Source organism: Homo sapiens, chromosome 3 (assembly GCF_000001405.40).
Source record: "Homo sapiens chromosome 3, GRCh38.p14 Primary Assembly".
Taxonomy (NCBI): Eukaryota; Metazoa; Chordata; class Mammalia; order Primates; family Hominidae; genus Homo; species Homo sapiens.
The window spans coordinates 2953915-2969719 of record NC_000003.12 but is presented as its reverse complement, the minus strand read 5'-3'; the positions used below and the strand labels follow the sequence as shown (position 1 = coordinate 2969719).

The window sequence follows — 15805 nt, the reverse complement described above, 5'->3', positions numbered from 1 at the left end:
TTTAGCCTGTCCATGACCAATCCACAGATATTTTTTGAGTACTTGCTATATAAAAGGCTGTGTGATAACCACTACAGGGGATTCAAAAGGGAAGAAGCAACGTCACTCTGATCACAATTTTCCTGTGGATTGGACATCTACTGTATTGCCTGCACAGCATCCATTTCTCTTTGTCTAGGAATAATAATAATAATAATAATAATCCCAATTTTCCTTTGGGAAATCATGTCTCCCCACTTTCAGACCATGTACTTTGGGTGGCTGTAACACCATTCTCTGGCTGCTGGGGTGTTCATGTGACACAGACATGGCCAAAGATAGAGCATCACACACTCCTGGTTAAAGCGATTGGTTCAGGAGTGGACACCTGACCTAGCCTAGACCAATCAGGATAAATGTGTGTCATCCTAAGACATTTGTTCCAACAACTGGAAAAGAGGTATATGTTTTCTGCTGGGGTTACTAAGGTGGTAGATAATCCGCTAGGGGTCATTTGTCGTTTCACCAGGGAATAGATTGGCTAAGAATGAAACCAACAAAAATGAAGTCTTGATGATATTCCCTTAGCACATACAGCAAACCCTGAAATTTTCAGATACGTGAGTCAGCAGATTCCCTTTGAAATATTATGAAAATAATGTAGAATGAGATGATGGTGATAGTTGCAAAACTTAGTACAATTTACTAAAAATCATTGCGTTGTACACTTAAAATGAGTGAATTTTATGGAATGTAAATTATACTTCAATAAAGTTGTCAAAAATGCCTCATAAGCCAGTTTGGGTTGGATTTCAGTCATTTGCAACCTGAAGAGTGGTGATGAATACACAGTGTCACTTGTGAGACAGTGTATACAGAGGAAACATCTGTGTGTCCATAGATGATGCATCAAATGGCTGAAACACCAGAAGAAGGGGGTCAACATGGGTGCCCATCCTGATTATAACTGTCCACCTCCTTGTTTGTCTCCTCACCAGTCTATAAGCTCATGCAATATAGTCCTTTTGCTCTCTGTGTTCAAAACCTAGCACAGTAATGACTCAGAGAGGCTGTAAACAAGTTTGCTCTGGTGGTGGTGGTGGTGGTAGTAGTGGTGGACTCTTCTTGTGACTTCCCTTTTAGTGGCTGATCACAAAAAGTTTTTTCTGACTTACAATACAATTATTCAGAGTTCAGGATTCATCTTTAGTGCTATTTCTGTTTTTCAGAAAATTCAGACAAAAAGTTACTTAACAAGAGGAACTCTGGATGGTCGAGTGCATCAACCAAACTGGGAAAATCCCTCAGATAACTGCCAAGTTCTTCACCTCACTTTGTCTGTGTAGCTATAGTCTGTGGATGGACTATACCCTATATACATTTAGGTTGGCCTTTCCACATTTTTTTCCTTGGTTTTGATGCGCTTCTTTGGCTGTTTAGGCATACATCCAAAGCAGAAAATGACAGATTCCGATACTTATCTTACTTTTGAAGAGGGAGCAAAAAGCACATTGTAATCAACTTCCAAGAAACTTAAAAAGTGATTTTTCTTGTGAGGAGAAATATGGTCATGCCCACAGATTCTGTGCTCAGTTCAGCTGCTGACAAACCATTTTTGGAATGTTCTTGAGATTAGCACAAAAAACAGCAAATGCAATCTCAGCTTATTTGTTCCAGCTGATACCATCTGAACAGAAGCCTGAAGGCAAGGGCTTTTGAGATAAGGCAGACTTCCCTAACTTTCAACTGAAAATGGTCATGGTTCATAGACAGATGACCCACCCCACTGTTAACTGGCACAGCATGAAGTACCAAAGGCGGCACAACTTTGTAACTTTTGTTTTAAGTAAAATCTCAACCAAAATCATTGTCATTAAAAAAAAAAAAAAAAGCAAACAAAACTCCTCTGAAGTAGGTATTTGAAAAACAAAATGCCTTTCTTTCCAGATTTAGACTTCAAGAATGTGTTCATATACACACCAGTTTCTACTGAATTCACCACTAACTTACTGATTAATCATGGGTAAGTTGTATAGTTTTTTCCTCTGAAAAATGATATGGAAACTGCCATTGCAAAATTATAACTGAGACAGTGAAAAGCGATCTGACCTAAACAGCTCCATCTTGCTTCTAACCTCCAAGCTGTCCTTGTTCACTCCTGGGCATTGGGATGGAAACTAAGTTTGGGAGGAACTCAGTTTATAGTTTATAGTTTAAAACAAAGACAATAACAGCCCTTTCCCATAAGAAACCCCATTCTTGCCTGGGGATTAGACCCCAGCTAATTTGTAGGCTAACAAATTAGCCAAAAGATTAGAAATTATGGTTTAGGAGTCGTGAGGCCAGAGGCTACAAGATTCTTCCCTCCCCAAACTGCTCTTGGGGATAATATCACTATTGTAAAATCTAAGACCAGTGCTTGAGATATTTTGCACACCCTGTACTCAGTGGATCAGCTGGGTCCACCCAGATCAATAAACTGGCTCATCTGATTTTACAGCCCCCACCCAGGAACTGACTCAGTGCAAGAAGACAGCTACGACTTCCTATGTGTTCATCTCCAACTCAACCAATCAGAACTCCTGACTCACTGCCCCCTGCTCCCCACCAACCCACCAAATTATCCTTAAAAACTCTGATCCCCCAATGCTCAGGGAGAATGATTTGAGTAATAGTAAAACTCCTGTCTCCTACATAGCCAGCTCTGAGTGAATTATACTTTCTCTATTGCAATTCCCCTGTCTTGATAAATCTGCTCTGTCTAGGCAGCAGGCAGGGTGAACCCATTGAGCAGTTACAATATGGCTGAACTTAGTGTCTTCTGGCTTTAAAAGTCCACCAGTCAATATAGTCAAAGCTCAGACATTTTAGCAAAAGGAAATATAATTTGGCTGATTAAAATAATCTGTCTATGTAGAGAAGATACAATGCCTTTTATTTATTCTTTCTTCATTAAAAATGTATATTTAATTACTATGGGTACATAATAGGCATATATATTTATGGGATACATGTGACATTTTGATACAGGCATATAATGTGTAATGATCCCATCAGGGTAAGTGGGGTATCCATAACCTCATTTATCATTTCTTTGTATTAGGAACATTCAAATTTTGTGCTTTTAGTTATTTCAAAATATACAATAAATTATTGTTGATTATAGTCACCCCATTGTGTTATTGAATGATAGATTTTCTTCATCCTGTCTAACTACATTTTCGTATCCATTAACTATCACCCCTTTTCCACCCCTCCCTCCTTCTGGTAATTGTTATTCTACTTTCTGTCTCCACGAGTTCAATTGTTTTAATTTTTAGCTTCTACATGTGGGTGAGAACGTGCAAAATTTGTCTTTCAGTGCCTGAATGCCTTTTATTTTGTACAACTGAAACTAAATTCAAATGATCAATTGTTTATAGGAAACCTATCCACTAGTCCTCCAAAAATCCAAATATGTCTAACTGAGATTTATACTAGCTATCAACTGTAAAAAAAAATAAAGTTAACTGAAAAATTGAGATTCCCGAACAGTTAACAGCCAATATTTATTTTTAAAATTTGATACTAGCTGGTTTAATCCCCCTTTCCTTTCTTCCATCTCTCCTTCTTTTCATCTCCCATTCATTCAATGGCTAGTAGTGCTCACTACCTATGGTAGTGTCTCAGTCAATAAAGATGAATTGGAAATAACCCTTCCCTTTAGGAAATTCACAGTCTGGTGAATTTCCACTATCACCACCAATAAATATGAGACAGATAAAATAATGTGGTTCCCTGAAATGATATATGTATCTATAGAGTATCCTGAAAACATAGTAGAGGTCCTGGGTGGGGATGAATCAATGATAATTTTTCATGGAGATGAACTGATTCTTAAGGGATATGTAGGAGTTAGATACATACAGGGGACGACATGCAGAAAAGGTGGTAGCTCATTGTCAGAGCATTAACTGTGAGGCAGAAAGCGGGGCTGGTGGGTTCAGAAAGGGGTCAGGTCACAAAGACCCTTGCCAGTCACATAGGAAGCAAAGACTTTATCCCAGGATAAGAACTTAAGGCATGGGAGTGATATCATCAGATTTACATTTTGGAAAGATCATGCTGGTGAATGAATGAGGAAAATCAATTTAGATATAAGAAGAAGCCAGCGGAAACCAGGCAGAAAAGTTCCTGCAAGGATCCAGGCACATGCTGTCCAAGAGATGGCTAAGCAAATGTGGCTACTTAAACTTAACGTTAAAATTAAGGAAAATTAAAATTTCTCTTCCTCAGTTGCGTTGGTCACCTTTCAAGTGCTCAATACCCACATACGGCAAGTGGCTACTGTATTGCATTAGCACAGACATAGAATATTTCCATCACCAGAGAAAGTGCTTCTAGACACTGCCAGACTAGACAAGAGAAAACCTGAACTAGGGCAGCAGTGGCCAGGAGGAGCACAAAACAATACAATTTAGGAGGAACAGTTAGGAGGAGAATTAATTATTGATTGGATAGCGTGAAATTTGGCTCCGATATGCTTGTCTGCAATGAGACAAAGAATGTGGGAGGAAGTTTTGTATGACGGTGATGATCAGCTGAATTTAAGTTTATTGATTCTGAGAGCACAGAGGTAGAAAATGATACCTAAGATAATGCCTTAATTCTATAATTTCATTTTTTAAACATGGCACACCGTAATAGAATCACAGACCACTGGAGTTGGGAAGGGCCAATCATTCCATTTACACATCAGAAAACCTGGTAAGATCTTTTTCTCATTCACTGCTGTATCTTCAACCCCTCGAGTAGGGCACGATGGAAGCATAATTAAATTTACTGTGAATGAGTGGGTGAATGTGGTCCAGACAGATGATGTGAAGGGGAAACAACTGCAGTTGTGGAAGGAGAAACTTGGTTAAATTTCTAGTTGTGCGACTTCAATTAAAGGTGTCAGTTTTCTCAACTTCAGTTTCCTCATCTATACCTGAATAATTGTGTCTTTGTAGGGATTTTTAAAAATTAATTTACAAATAAGTTCTTTGAAAACTACAAAGTGCTACACTTGCTTACAACTGGTGTTTGCTATTATTATCCAGGGTTATCTAGTTCCTTACTTAAAGTTTGGTTTGAGGTCAGCAGCTATGTCACATATGGGAGCTTATAAGAAACACACAATCTCAGGCCCCATCCCAAACTTTCTGAATCAGATTCTGCATTTTATTAAGGTTCTTAGGTGATTTATATGCTCCCAAAGTCAGAGAAACACTGAACTACACATTAGGAGACTGGAATTTCACCTCAAGTCTTCCAATTTTAGAGATCAATGAATGGAAGAGTTGACAGAGTTACTAAGCAATTTGGTGAAAAACATGTATCATTTGAAGTCTGATTTACTCACATTGGATATTCATAATTAAACTGATGGCCCTAGTAAATTGCTAGATCTCAGTCTAATTTTCTTATGCAGAACTAGTCTCAGTGGTGGCTAAAAATTTCTCCAATGAAATTGCCGATTACTTTGGGTGGAGGTAGAGATAAGATGCCAATTTCTTTTCCTCATGATAGGGAATTGAGAGGAAAAGCTCACATATTGTGTATCAGTCAGGTCTGAACATAAATATCCCTGAAATATAAATGTCCCTATGAATGCTCAAAAACACTAATAGTGCAAATATGGTATTGCATTCATGAAACATATTTGTAATAAGAACCTACTATGTGTCAGGCAATGTACTAAAGATGCAATAGTGAACAAAACTGATACGGTTGCTCCCTTCATGAAACTTAAACTCTATTGGAAAAGACAATTTATTCTGTTTATGACCATTCTTCAATTCACTAATTCAACAAATACTTCCTGAGCATCCACTGTGGGCCCTGCACTCTTCTGGGAATTAGGTATCCAACAATAAATAAGACAAATAATGCCATTACTCTTAAGGATCTCACATTTCAGTGGAAGGAGAGACTAACAATAAAGCAAATAAAGCAAATATGAATGTGATAAGTTAGTGCAGTAATATGTGCTAAGAAGAAAATATGGACAGTCTTATGATAGAAATGGACTTTTGGTGTGTGTTGGGGGCACAAAAGATGATGGAATTTCTTTAGGTTAAACATGGAAGGCCTCTCTTTGTATTACTTGAGCTAAGATCTAATCGATGATAAGTAGTGGTCAGACAAAGAATGGGGAATGAGAGAGAACATCAAGTGCAAAGGCCCTAAGGAAACAGCAGGATTTGTGTTTTCCTGGAACAGAAAGGCCAGTGGGATGGGTGAGTGGAGTGGTAAGAAATGAGATTGGCTGCTAAGGTTTGGGCTAGATCATGTAATAAGAAATTTAGATTTTCTTTCTAGACCATCTTGACGCCAAATAATCACATTCATAAATGTGAAATTATATCATATGAGGTACTGTAAAGGAAAAGTGTATAGTATTATAAATATCTATAAAAGGGAAATTGAGTCTCAGTAAGAGGTAATACGAGCGAGGTCTGAAGGAAAAGGAAGTGTTAACTAGGCAATAACAGAAAGTAGAAGAGTGCATTCTAGGCACAGGAAGAGATATGATAATGATGGGGGCAGATGTGGCATAGACTAGAGAAACGGTGAGAAAATTAATTACTAGGTTTTAGGTGACTTTAAACTCAGTCTGACTCGATGGGCAGATGAGAGTGCCAAAAACATGAACATAATCCTGGGCAGCATTAATAGATATACGGCATCCAGAATGCGGGAGGGGATAACCCCATTCTACTCTGCGCTGATCAAACTGCAGCTAGAGCTACAAGGCACCACCATTTGAGAGGGTCATTGAAAAAATTAACACCAACTAAGAGGGCAGCTAAGGACACTGGATGATTCACAGGAACAAGACGGATGGGACTCAAAGCCACTTCACATGAAGATGAAAGAATGGTGTTCAACATTATTTTAATTGTTGTTGTTTTCGCCTACTCAGTATCCATTTTCCCGTTTTCATAGTACTCATATGTTCTTTTGAGGATAGCTGTTCTCACTGGATTCAATCTGGTAAGGCTGTGGTCAGAGGCCCTCCCTTTCCCTGTGTCTTACAACCAAAGCTACAATAGTCATACATAACTCCTTCCTCCTGGAACAGCAGGACAAAGAACCTGATGAACTCAGCAGGGGCACCCTGATCAAACTATTCCTGTAAATATACAGCTTCTGCCTTTCCTGTTTCCTAATCCCAGAGGGACACCTTAGATTCATTTAGTTTCAAAACTGCTTCTTCCAGGGGTTTTCTAAGTCCCTCATATCCTTCCAATAAAATTCCTGTTTGCTTGAGTTAGCTAGAGTTATTTTGGTTAACTGCAACCCAAGAATGCTGACACATTTAGCCTGGTGAACAAAGAAATGACTTTGGTGAACCTGGGGACAGAAGAGCTGCTGTCTTTGAATATTCGGAAGAGTGTGGCAGAAAGGAAACCTGGGATTTCCTGTGCTGCACCAGGCGTCTGGCTTAAAAGTGAATGGCTCTATCTAGGGATAAACATTTTATTACATAAAAATTCCCTAAGGGGCATAATTCTCCACAGAAGTTTCTATTACTGGGAGTGTCTTTGGCAGAAGAGATCCAGATAAGTTAGGTTTTTCCTGGAGGGAATTCAAAAATCATATAGGGTTGACCTAAATAATTTTTGAGGTCCAGAGAGTCTATAAGTCTTGGGGTTCAAATTACATCTTTCATATGACTTAAAATTTCAAATGTAATTGTCTTTGACATGTTTTTGACAAGTCTATTTTCCCCAAGCTTAAAAAGACTTTGATGAAGAAGGAAAAGGCAATGGATTTTTATAGGAAGTGCCACTGAAAGCAGGAACACAAAAATTTTGAGTATCAAATGGATTGTAGAAGTTAAGACACACTTTCTAGAAGAATTCCCCTCTACACAGTGTTTTTCAAAGCTTATCTAAATGGATGGCTTTGTTTTCGCCCTCAAAGCATTGCACCATGGCTAAACTCCAGTCTGCTTATTTCATTCTCTCTAAGCCCTGTTTAAAGCATTTTAGATTAATAATAGCCTTTGTTTCCCTAGCCATTAAGCAGTGTTGTTGTGTGTGACTTCAAAGGATGGCTCTCTTCTAATAACAAGGTGGTCTGGTTCAGAGGTGGGTATGTTGTCTCTAGCAGGGATTTAACAACATTTGATATAACAGGCAGTGAGGAAAATAAAAATATCTTTATTTTTATGTAAGGTATGCTCTCAAGGGTTGTCATTTGCTATAAGGAGACAGTCCTATAGTTTTTCAACAGTTGCTGAAAAACTACTGTACAAGACACTGTCCATTATATTAGCAGATATCCCTTGTCTAAATATCTGTATCAGTTAGCTATCACCACATAACATACAACCCCCAAACTCAGTTGCTTAAAATAACAAGACTTTTCATTGCTCTTGAGTCTATGTTTCAGCTAGGTGTTGGCTGGGGTGATGAGGGGGACTAGGCCATTGTCTCCTCTTCATTCAATATTCAGTAGGCCTTTTTTTTTTTTTTTTTTTGTGAGATGGAGTCTCGTTCTGTCGCCCAGGCTGGAGTGCAGTGGTCCAATCTCGGCTCACTGCAAGCTCCGCCTCCCGGGTTCACGCCATTCTCCTGCCTCAGCCTCCCGAGTAGCTGGGACTACAGGCGCCCATCACCACGCCCGGCTAATTTTTTGTATTTTTAGTAGAGACGGGGTTTCACCGTGTTAGCCAGGATGGTCTCGATCTCCTGACCTCGTGATCCACCCGCCTCGGCCTCCCAAAGTGCTGGGATTACAGGCGTGAGTCACCGCGCCCGGCACAATAGGCCTTTATCTTGTTCGCATGGTAGCGAAACGATTTGAAAAGCCGCAAGGGGTAGGCTCCAATGTGCAAGGACTTTCAAAATCATTTGCTTGCATCCATTCTACTACCATTTCATTGGCCAAAGCAAGCAGTCTGGCCAAGTCAAGAGTGAAAGTGGGAAGGCACTACCAAAGGACATGACGCAGGACATGTGCAAAGCAGGGGCCATTACTGCAATCAACCTGCCCCTGGATTCAACTAACACATTTAATGTATAATTTAAAGTCAGGAGAAAGTTGTCTCTCTTCAACACCGTTTTTCATATAATGAACTTTATTTAACAGCTTGCCGATTTCTCTTTTGGCTCAGAATCCTAGGAAACTCAAAACACTAATAATACTAACTAAGTCATTATTAAAGTACACATTCCCCTTCTTCTACAGGTCTAAATGTTTTATTTTAACAGGCCTATTATATATAACTTGTATTATAAGCAGCCTCAAGTGTTTAGCTTTTATTTTTGATTTTGAGAGAGACAGTATATTAACCAAAAACAAAAAACAAAAAACAAAAAAACTCAAAACCTGTATTTATCTAAAGTATGGCTCTTGCCCGTGCGGTACCTATAGACATGAGAAATATCTGCAGACAAGAAAAGAGAGAAATGCTCTTTTAAAGGGGCATTAGTCATTATTACATATTACATTCTCCTGGTTCTAACATGAACCAAAGTGACAACTGTACACCTTGACAAAAGTTTTCCAGGGAATTATCTCAAACCAATTTTCACTAGGGATGTAGCCTTTTACAATCTCCACAGGTTCAAAAAGAGGAATATTTAAAATTCAGAACCCACACCTAAGAAGGTGACAGACGTTAAGAAAATTCAGCTGAAAATGAAGTTCTTCATTTCATTTTGGAATATTTTCTTCTAAAGATATCATGAGACAGATTTCAAAGGACTTTGAAGATAGAACTGCAGTGTTTCATGCCCATATGATTGAGTCCAGGAAATATTACCTGAGTCTTGGCAGCTGAATTTGAAATGCTGACTTGAAATGTTTTCATTGAAGTTGTACCAACATTAAATAGAACTAGAAAGTTATTTAAGCTGGTTTTAACATTTTCTTATAAATTTCCTCTTAACTGACAGCAAACTCTCATACCTAGGGAGACAAAAACTTAATAGGTGCTAAAAGTCTTTGGGGAAATTTACGTCTGGAATAAACTAGGGGATTTTTACAGATCCCAAACTGTTTCTGATGAGTAGAAGATTTTTTTTTTTGAAAAATCAGTCACTTAAAAATTTAGTATGATTCTAAAAATAAAAAAACAGATTTCTCAATTACATGTGCTCTGGGCTAGATATTAATCTAATGGTAAGGAAATAATTTATATTAAAATAATAATTAGATGGTATATACTATTTCTAAAGCCAAGGGTAAGCTCCTCAATGATTTTTTTTCACAATATGTTGATAGGCATAATTATGAAAAGGGCTTTCAAAGTTATGACCAAGAACTCATAAATACCTGTGGAGACTTAAAGACTTTATGGTCTTATCATACTGAAATGCAATTAGGTGTTTACATTTTTAAAGAGCTTTACACAGACGCTCTATAGATAGCATAAACTGGAAATAGACTGCCTTCTGAAAACTTGCTCTGAAAACATTATCTGACTCTTTGTTTTTAAATATATTTTCCCCTAGAAGCTAATTTCCTTGACCTAAAAGGACTTTGCAGGACTATATTCTTTTCCTGATGTCAAAAAATTGCTGTAGTTTCCTGTAATAATATTTATTTCCTTGCCCAAAGGAATAGTTTATAGCTAACCTTAAGTGCTTACATATTTTACTTAGCACCGTCTGGGGAAAGGCTCTGACATAGACACTGAGAGCTTTGCTTTCAATTTCTGCCTCAGTTGTTCTCATTGTATATGTGTCTTTGTATATATGCAGATACTCAAATGACTACTGACCCTTCTGTTCCCTGGAGGCACGGTTTTTGTCAAACAAGTTATTTGGGCAAGACAACTAGCCAATGGAATGCTATTCCATCTTTCTGTCAGTTGCTCTGGAGTTATAAAGGGATCCATAAGTTCATAAAATCTAGACTTCCTAGGTTGAGCATTAGTTCCCTGGATTACTCATAGCATACCCAGAATACCCCTCTCCAACCTTTCTACAAATGTACTGCTTACTTATTACGTAAGAACCTCTTAAGTGTTGCCTCTTTTATGAAGCTGTCTCTGCTTCCTGCAGCTGGAAGTCTTTCTGCCTGCCCTGCATTCTTGCAGCCTGTGATTTTACTGCTACTTAAGGGGATTCTTGCTTTCTGTATTGTATTATAATGCTTACATTTTGTAAGCTACTTGGGGTAGAACTTATCTGTCTTATTTTTAATCATAGTTGCACCAGGGAAGCAATCACCGGGATAATTCAAAAAAATGCAGATTGTTTATGCTAACATTTAGAAGAAGCACATTACAAAGGTAGCAGGCAAGGTGCTGGTTGGGCTGCCATGAGAATTCAATAAACTGAGTTATGCCAGTGAATTTCCATGGTCCAATATCTAGGCCTCACCCTGAAGGTTCAGAACTTACCTTGCCTGGGTCATTTTGATTACTTAAAATATATAAGAACTAATGAGAAACTAGTATATAAAATGGGGTGCTCACTTATTAATGTACCATATGAAATAAAACTGCCATTCAGCCAGTTTAACTGGCACTTTCTTTCCTCATAAACCAGTGTTTCTTAATTGGAGGCAACAATGCTTCTTACAGCACGTTTGGGAAGCATGGAGATTTTCTGTTTGTCAGAATGACTAGGAATGCCTGGGCCTAGAGATGCTACAGTCTTGCAATATGTGGAAACATCCATTTAAAATGCAACAGCCTCCCATCAGAGAAATACTAAATTAGAAATCCATTAGACAAATCAAAATATCATCAAAAGGCCAGTCACAGTGGCTCTTAGAACTACCAGTCAACCCAGGAATCCCATTACTGAATATATACCCAAAGAAAAATAAATGGTTCTACCAAAAAGACATATGCACTTTACGTTCATCGCAGCACTATTTACAATAGCAAAGACATGGAATCAACCTGAGTGCCCACTGATGGTGTACTGGATAGAGAAAATGCAACACATATACACCATGGAATACTATGCGGCATATAAAAGAACAAAATCGTGTCCTTTGTCACAATATAGAGGCAGTGGGAGACCATTATCCTAAGCAAACTAACACAGAAATAGAAAACAAAACACCACATGTTCTTATTAGTGGGAGCTAAACATTGAGTACACATGGACATAGAATGAGAAAAACAGATGCTGGGAACTGTTAGAGTGGGGAAGGTGGGGAGGGGATGTGAGCTGAAAAACTACCTATTAGGTGCTATGCTCACTACATGCGTGACGGGGTCATCTGTAGTCCAAGCCTCACCATCACACAATATACCCATGTTACAAACCTGAACATGTACTCTCTGAATCCAAAATAAAGTTGAAATAAAAAAAGAAGACATGTAAATGGCCAAAGGCATATGAAAAGGTGCTCAGTATCACTAATCATCAGAGAAATGCAAACCAAAACCACAATAAGATATCTTCTCACACCGCTAAGAATGACTACTATGAAAAAGACAAGAGACAACAAGCATTGACTAGGGTGTGGAAAAAAGGCAACACTTGTACACTGCTGATAGGAATGTAAATTGGTATAACCATTGTGGAAAATAGTACGGTTGTTCAAAAAAAAATTTAAATTAGAACTACCATATAATCCAGCAATCCCACTTCTGCGTATATATCCAAAGAAAATGAAATTAGTATGTTGAAGAGCTATCTGCACTCCCATATTCATCAGAGCATTATTCACAATAGCCAAGATATAGAAACAACCCAAGTGTCCATCACGGGATTAATGGATAAAGAAACTAGTAAATATGTACAGCGGACTATTACTCAGCCTTAAAAAGAAAGAAATCCTGCCATTGCAGCAACAAGGATGAACCTGGAGGATGTTATGCTAAGTGAAATAAACCAGGCACAGAAAGACAAATAGTGTATAATGTCACTTACATGTGAAATCTAAAAAAGTAGAGCTCGTAGAAGCAGAAAGTAGAGCCATGGTTGCTAGGGGCTCTGGAGGTAGGGGAAATAAATAGGAAGATGTTGGTTAAAGAGTATAAAATTGCAGTTATAAGATGAACAATTCCGGGGGTCTAATGTACAATCTGGTGATGGATGCATTAATTAATTTGATTGTGGTAATCATTATATAATATATACACAAGTCATGTTGTACACCTTGAATATTTAATTTTTATCAATTAAATAATTAAAAATAAGAAATAAAATTAGCATCATTTACCTATTAAAAATAAAAAAGAAGTAACATTCCCATCATTTATTAACTTAGATGGGAGTATATATTGCCCCTTTGATTTTTGTCTTTGCCTATTTTCCATTTTTTATATCTTTTTTACTGTGGTAAAATATATATATAACATAAAAAATGCCATTTTAATTATTTTTAAGTGTTGAATTCAGTGGCATTAAGTACAGTCACACTGTTGTGCAACTGTCACCACCATCCATCTTCAGAACTTTTTCATCATCTCTAGCAAACTCTTTACCCATCTAAACAATGACTTCCCATTACCCCCTTCCCATCACCTTGTAACCATTATCCTACTTTCTGTCTCTATCCATTTGCCTATTCTAGGTACTTCATATAAGTGCAATTATGCAATATTTGTCCTTTTGTGTCCAGTTTATTTCATTTAACATGATGTTTTCAAGGTTCATCCATATGGCAGCATGTGTTAGAATTTCATTCCTAGTTAAGGCTGGAAAATATTCCACTGTATACCCCAGTTTGTTTATTTATTCTTCTATCAATAGACATTTGGGCTGTTTCCACTTTTTGATTATTATGCATAATGCTGCAATGAACATGGATGTACAAATATCTAGCTGAGTCCTTGCTTTTAATTCTGGAGTAATCTCTACAAGTGGAATTGTTCAATCATATGGTAATTCTACTTTTAATTTTTTTGAGGACATGTCATGATGTTGATGCTGAATCATTTTACATCCCCACTAGCTGTGCAAAAGGGTTCCAATTTCTTCACAATATCTGTCACTTTTGACCATTCCTTCTTGTTCAAACAGTTGTGTCCAGCGTCCATTAGCACTATATCCAATAATAGCCACTTAAAAACCTATCCCTCTTTCAGCCTCTGCCATGAGATATTAGTAGGCTCCACTACTAAATGTTGGCATGAAGCACAGGGCCCAGGCTTAAATTAATCCCAGCATTTCATGTCTTCTGGCTATAGTGATTAGTTAGGGATAATTATACGACTCAATCAGAGTCAGTAAGCTACAATGAGACTTTTCCTGGGACTTTCTGGAAAATGATTCTCACTCTGTCCTTCTGGAATTGAATATCTGAATATTTAATGTCTAGAGCTGCTGCAGCCATTTTGTGGTAATGAGGATGACACCTGTCTGAGAACAGAGTCAACATGGTGGATAGAAGAGATGAGTTTGTGTGTATTTTGTCACTCAAAATCAGAAAAGGCCTAATAAACACCACGTGACTGACACATGCAATTACGATTTACTGTGCTGCTAGTTCAGTCATGCTAATAAATAAGATTTAGGTGCACTTTAGCCTTGAGTCTTGGGAAATAGTTTATTTTTATGGCTGATTTTGCATCTAATCTTGCTCATTATATATGACTTTTAAAGTTCAACTGTAAGATTTTGGTGAGCACCTGGCTGTCTCTTCTGTCTACCGTTTTTTAGTGGTCCATTTAACTTTGTAATGTTTCATAAGACTTTTCATGGCAGACTTGCCCTCTTGACTATTTCTGCTTTAGCTAATATTAAAATGAGGTTGCGCTGCCAGATAACCTGGCTGCTATTATCCACCACCCATTTCTTCCTTCAAAATATTCTAGGTGATTGGGGTGGTGCGGGGCAGGGGGCAGGGCGTAGGGAATGAGACTACGGTTAAACATTAGTTTTATAACATATTTAATTCTGACAGTCAGAATCTTATAGTGAGAGAAAATGATTAGAGAACAAAAACCAAGATTTTAAAATCTAAACAAAATTTTCCAGAGACAGAAACTCAAAATTAATACTAGGCAGACAGGATGAAAACACTAGAAAACTCCATATGGAATTGTGGTAACCTGTTACTAGGTCCAGATTGCGTGACTACCAGGTTATTGCATTGCAAGATTACATGCACTAAAGCTGTAGGTCTTTGCTATCCATTCCAGGCTTAAAAGGTTCTGACTTCAATATATGAACTGCCCTCCCCCTCAGTGAAAGGGGGAGAGAAAAATCAGAGATTGTTGGCTCTATTGATTTGGATGACACATGTTCTCTGAACCACCGAGAAGGATTCTCTGTGGACTGAATGAAATTCAAAGGTCAGAGAAAAAAAACTGATAAATATAATTGCAATTTCTTTGCAGCACCGTATTTGATGGCAAGACATTTGACACAATGACAATTTAATATGTGGAAAAAGAGAGAAAGACCAGACATACTGTCCATCGGTAGTAACTGATCTTTTGCAAGTTCCCAATGGGCACTGGAGGACAACTTTCATAAACAGCTTCTTCCTAAAACCTAAAGGGAGAAGGTGAAAGACCTTGTTCATTTTGGTGAAGTTTCCTCTTTCTCTCCTGAGGACAGGCTGACATAAGGACATCAAGCAGAGGCGTCAGAGGATGCTGGGTGATGTCTAGGCAATCAAGATAAGGTTTCTGAATGAAAACTCAATTTCCCTTAGGTTAGGTTTACAAAGCTGCAATTATCTTGTGTGACATCTAAATAAATCTCCATTTTGGAAACGATTATGCATATTTTAGAAAAGTTGATTTGGGAATTAATGATTCAGAAATACTCCATTCCCTGTTTAGTATGAAAACCAAAAGGTGATTCCTAAGAATTGACTTAATTTAGAAAACTTATTTCCTAGATAATTGGCCCTAAACATTTTATCTAGATTCTTA

General features: G+C 37.8%; 1 protein-coding gene across 40 annotated transcripts in view, besides 1 other annotated feature; it reads right to left on the bottom strand.

The window, feature by feature from the left end:
- The window catches only part of CNTN4 (contactin 4), a 959094-nt gene that overhangs the window by 88240 nt on the left and 855049 nt on the right, over positions 1 to 15805 (bottom strand). The window lies entirely within an intron of this gene.
- Positions 10689 to 10889: a silencer, noted in NCBI's record as "peak4526 fragment used in MPRA reporter construct". NCBI's record gives its function as "represses an SCP1 promoter by STARR-seq MPRAs in K562 erythroleukemia cells {active_cell/tissue: K562}" and the evidence as "EXISTENCE:reporter gene assay evidence [ECO:0000049][PMID:32103011]".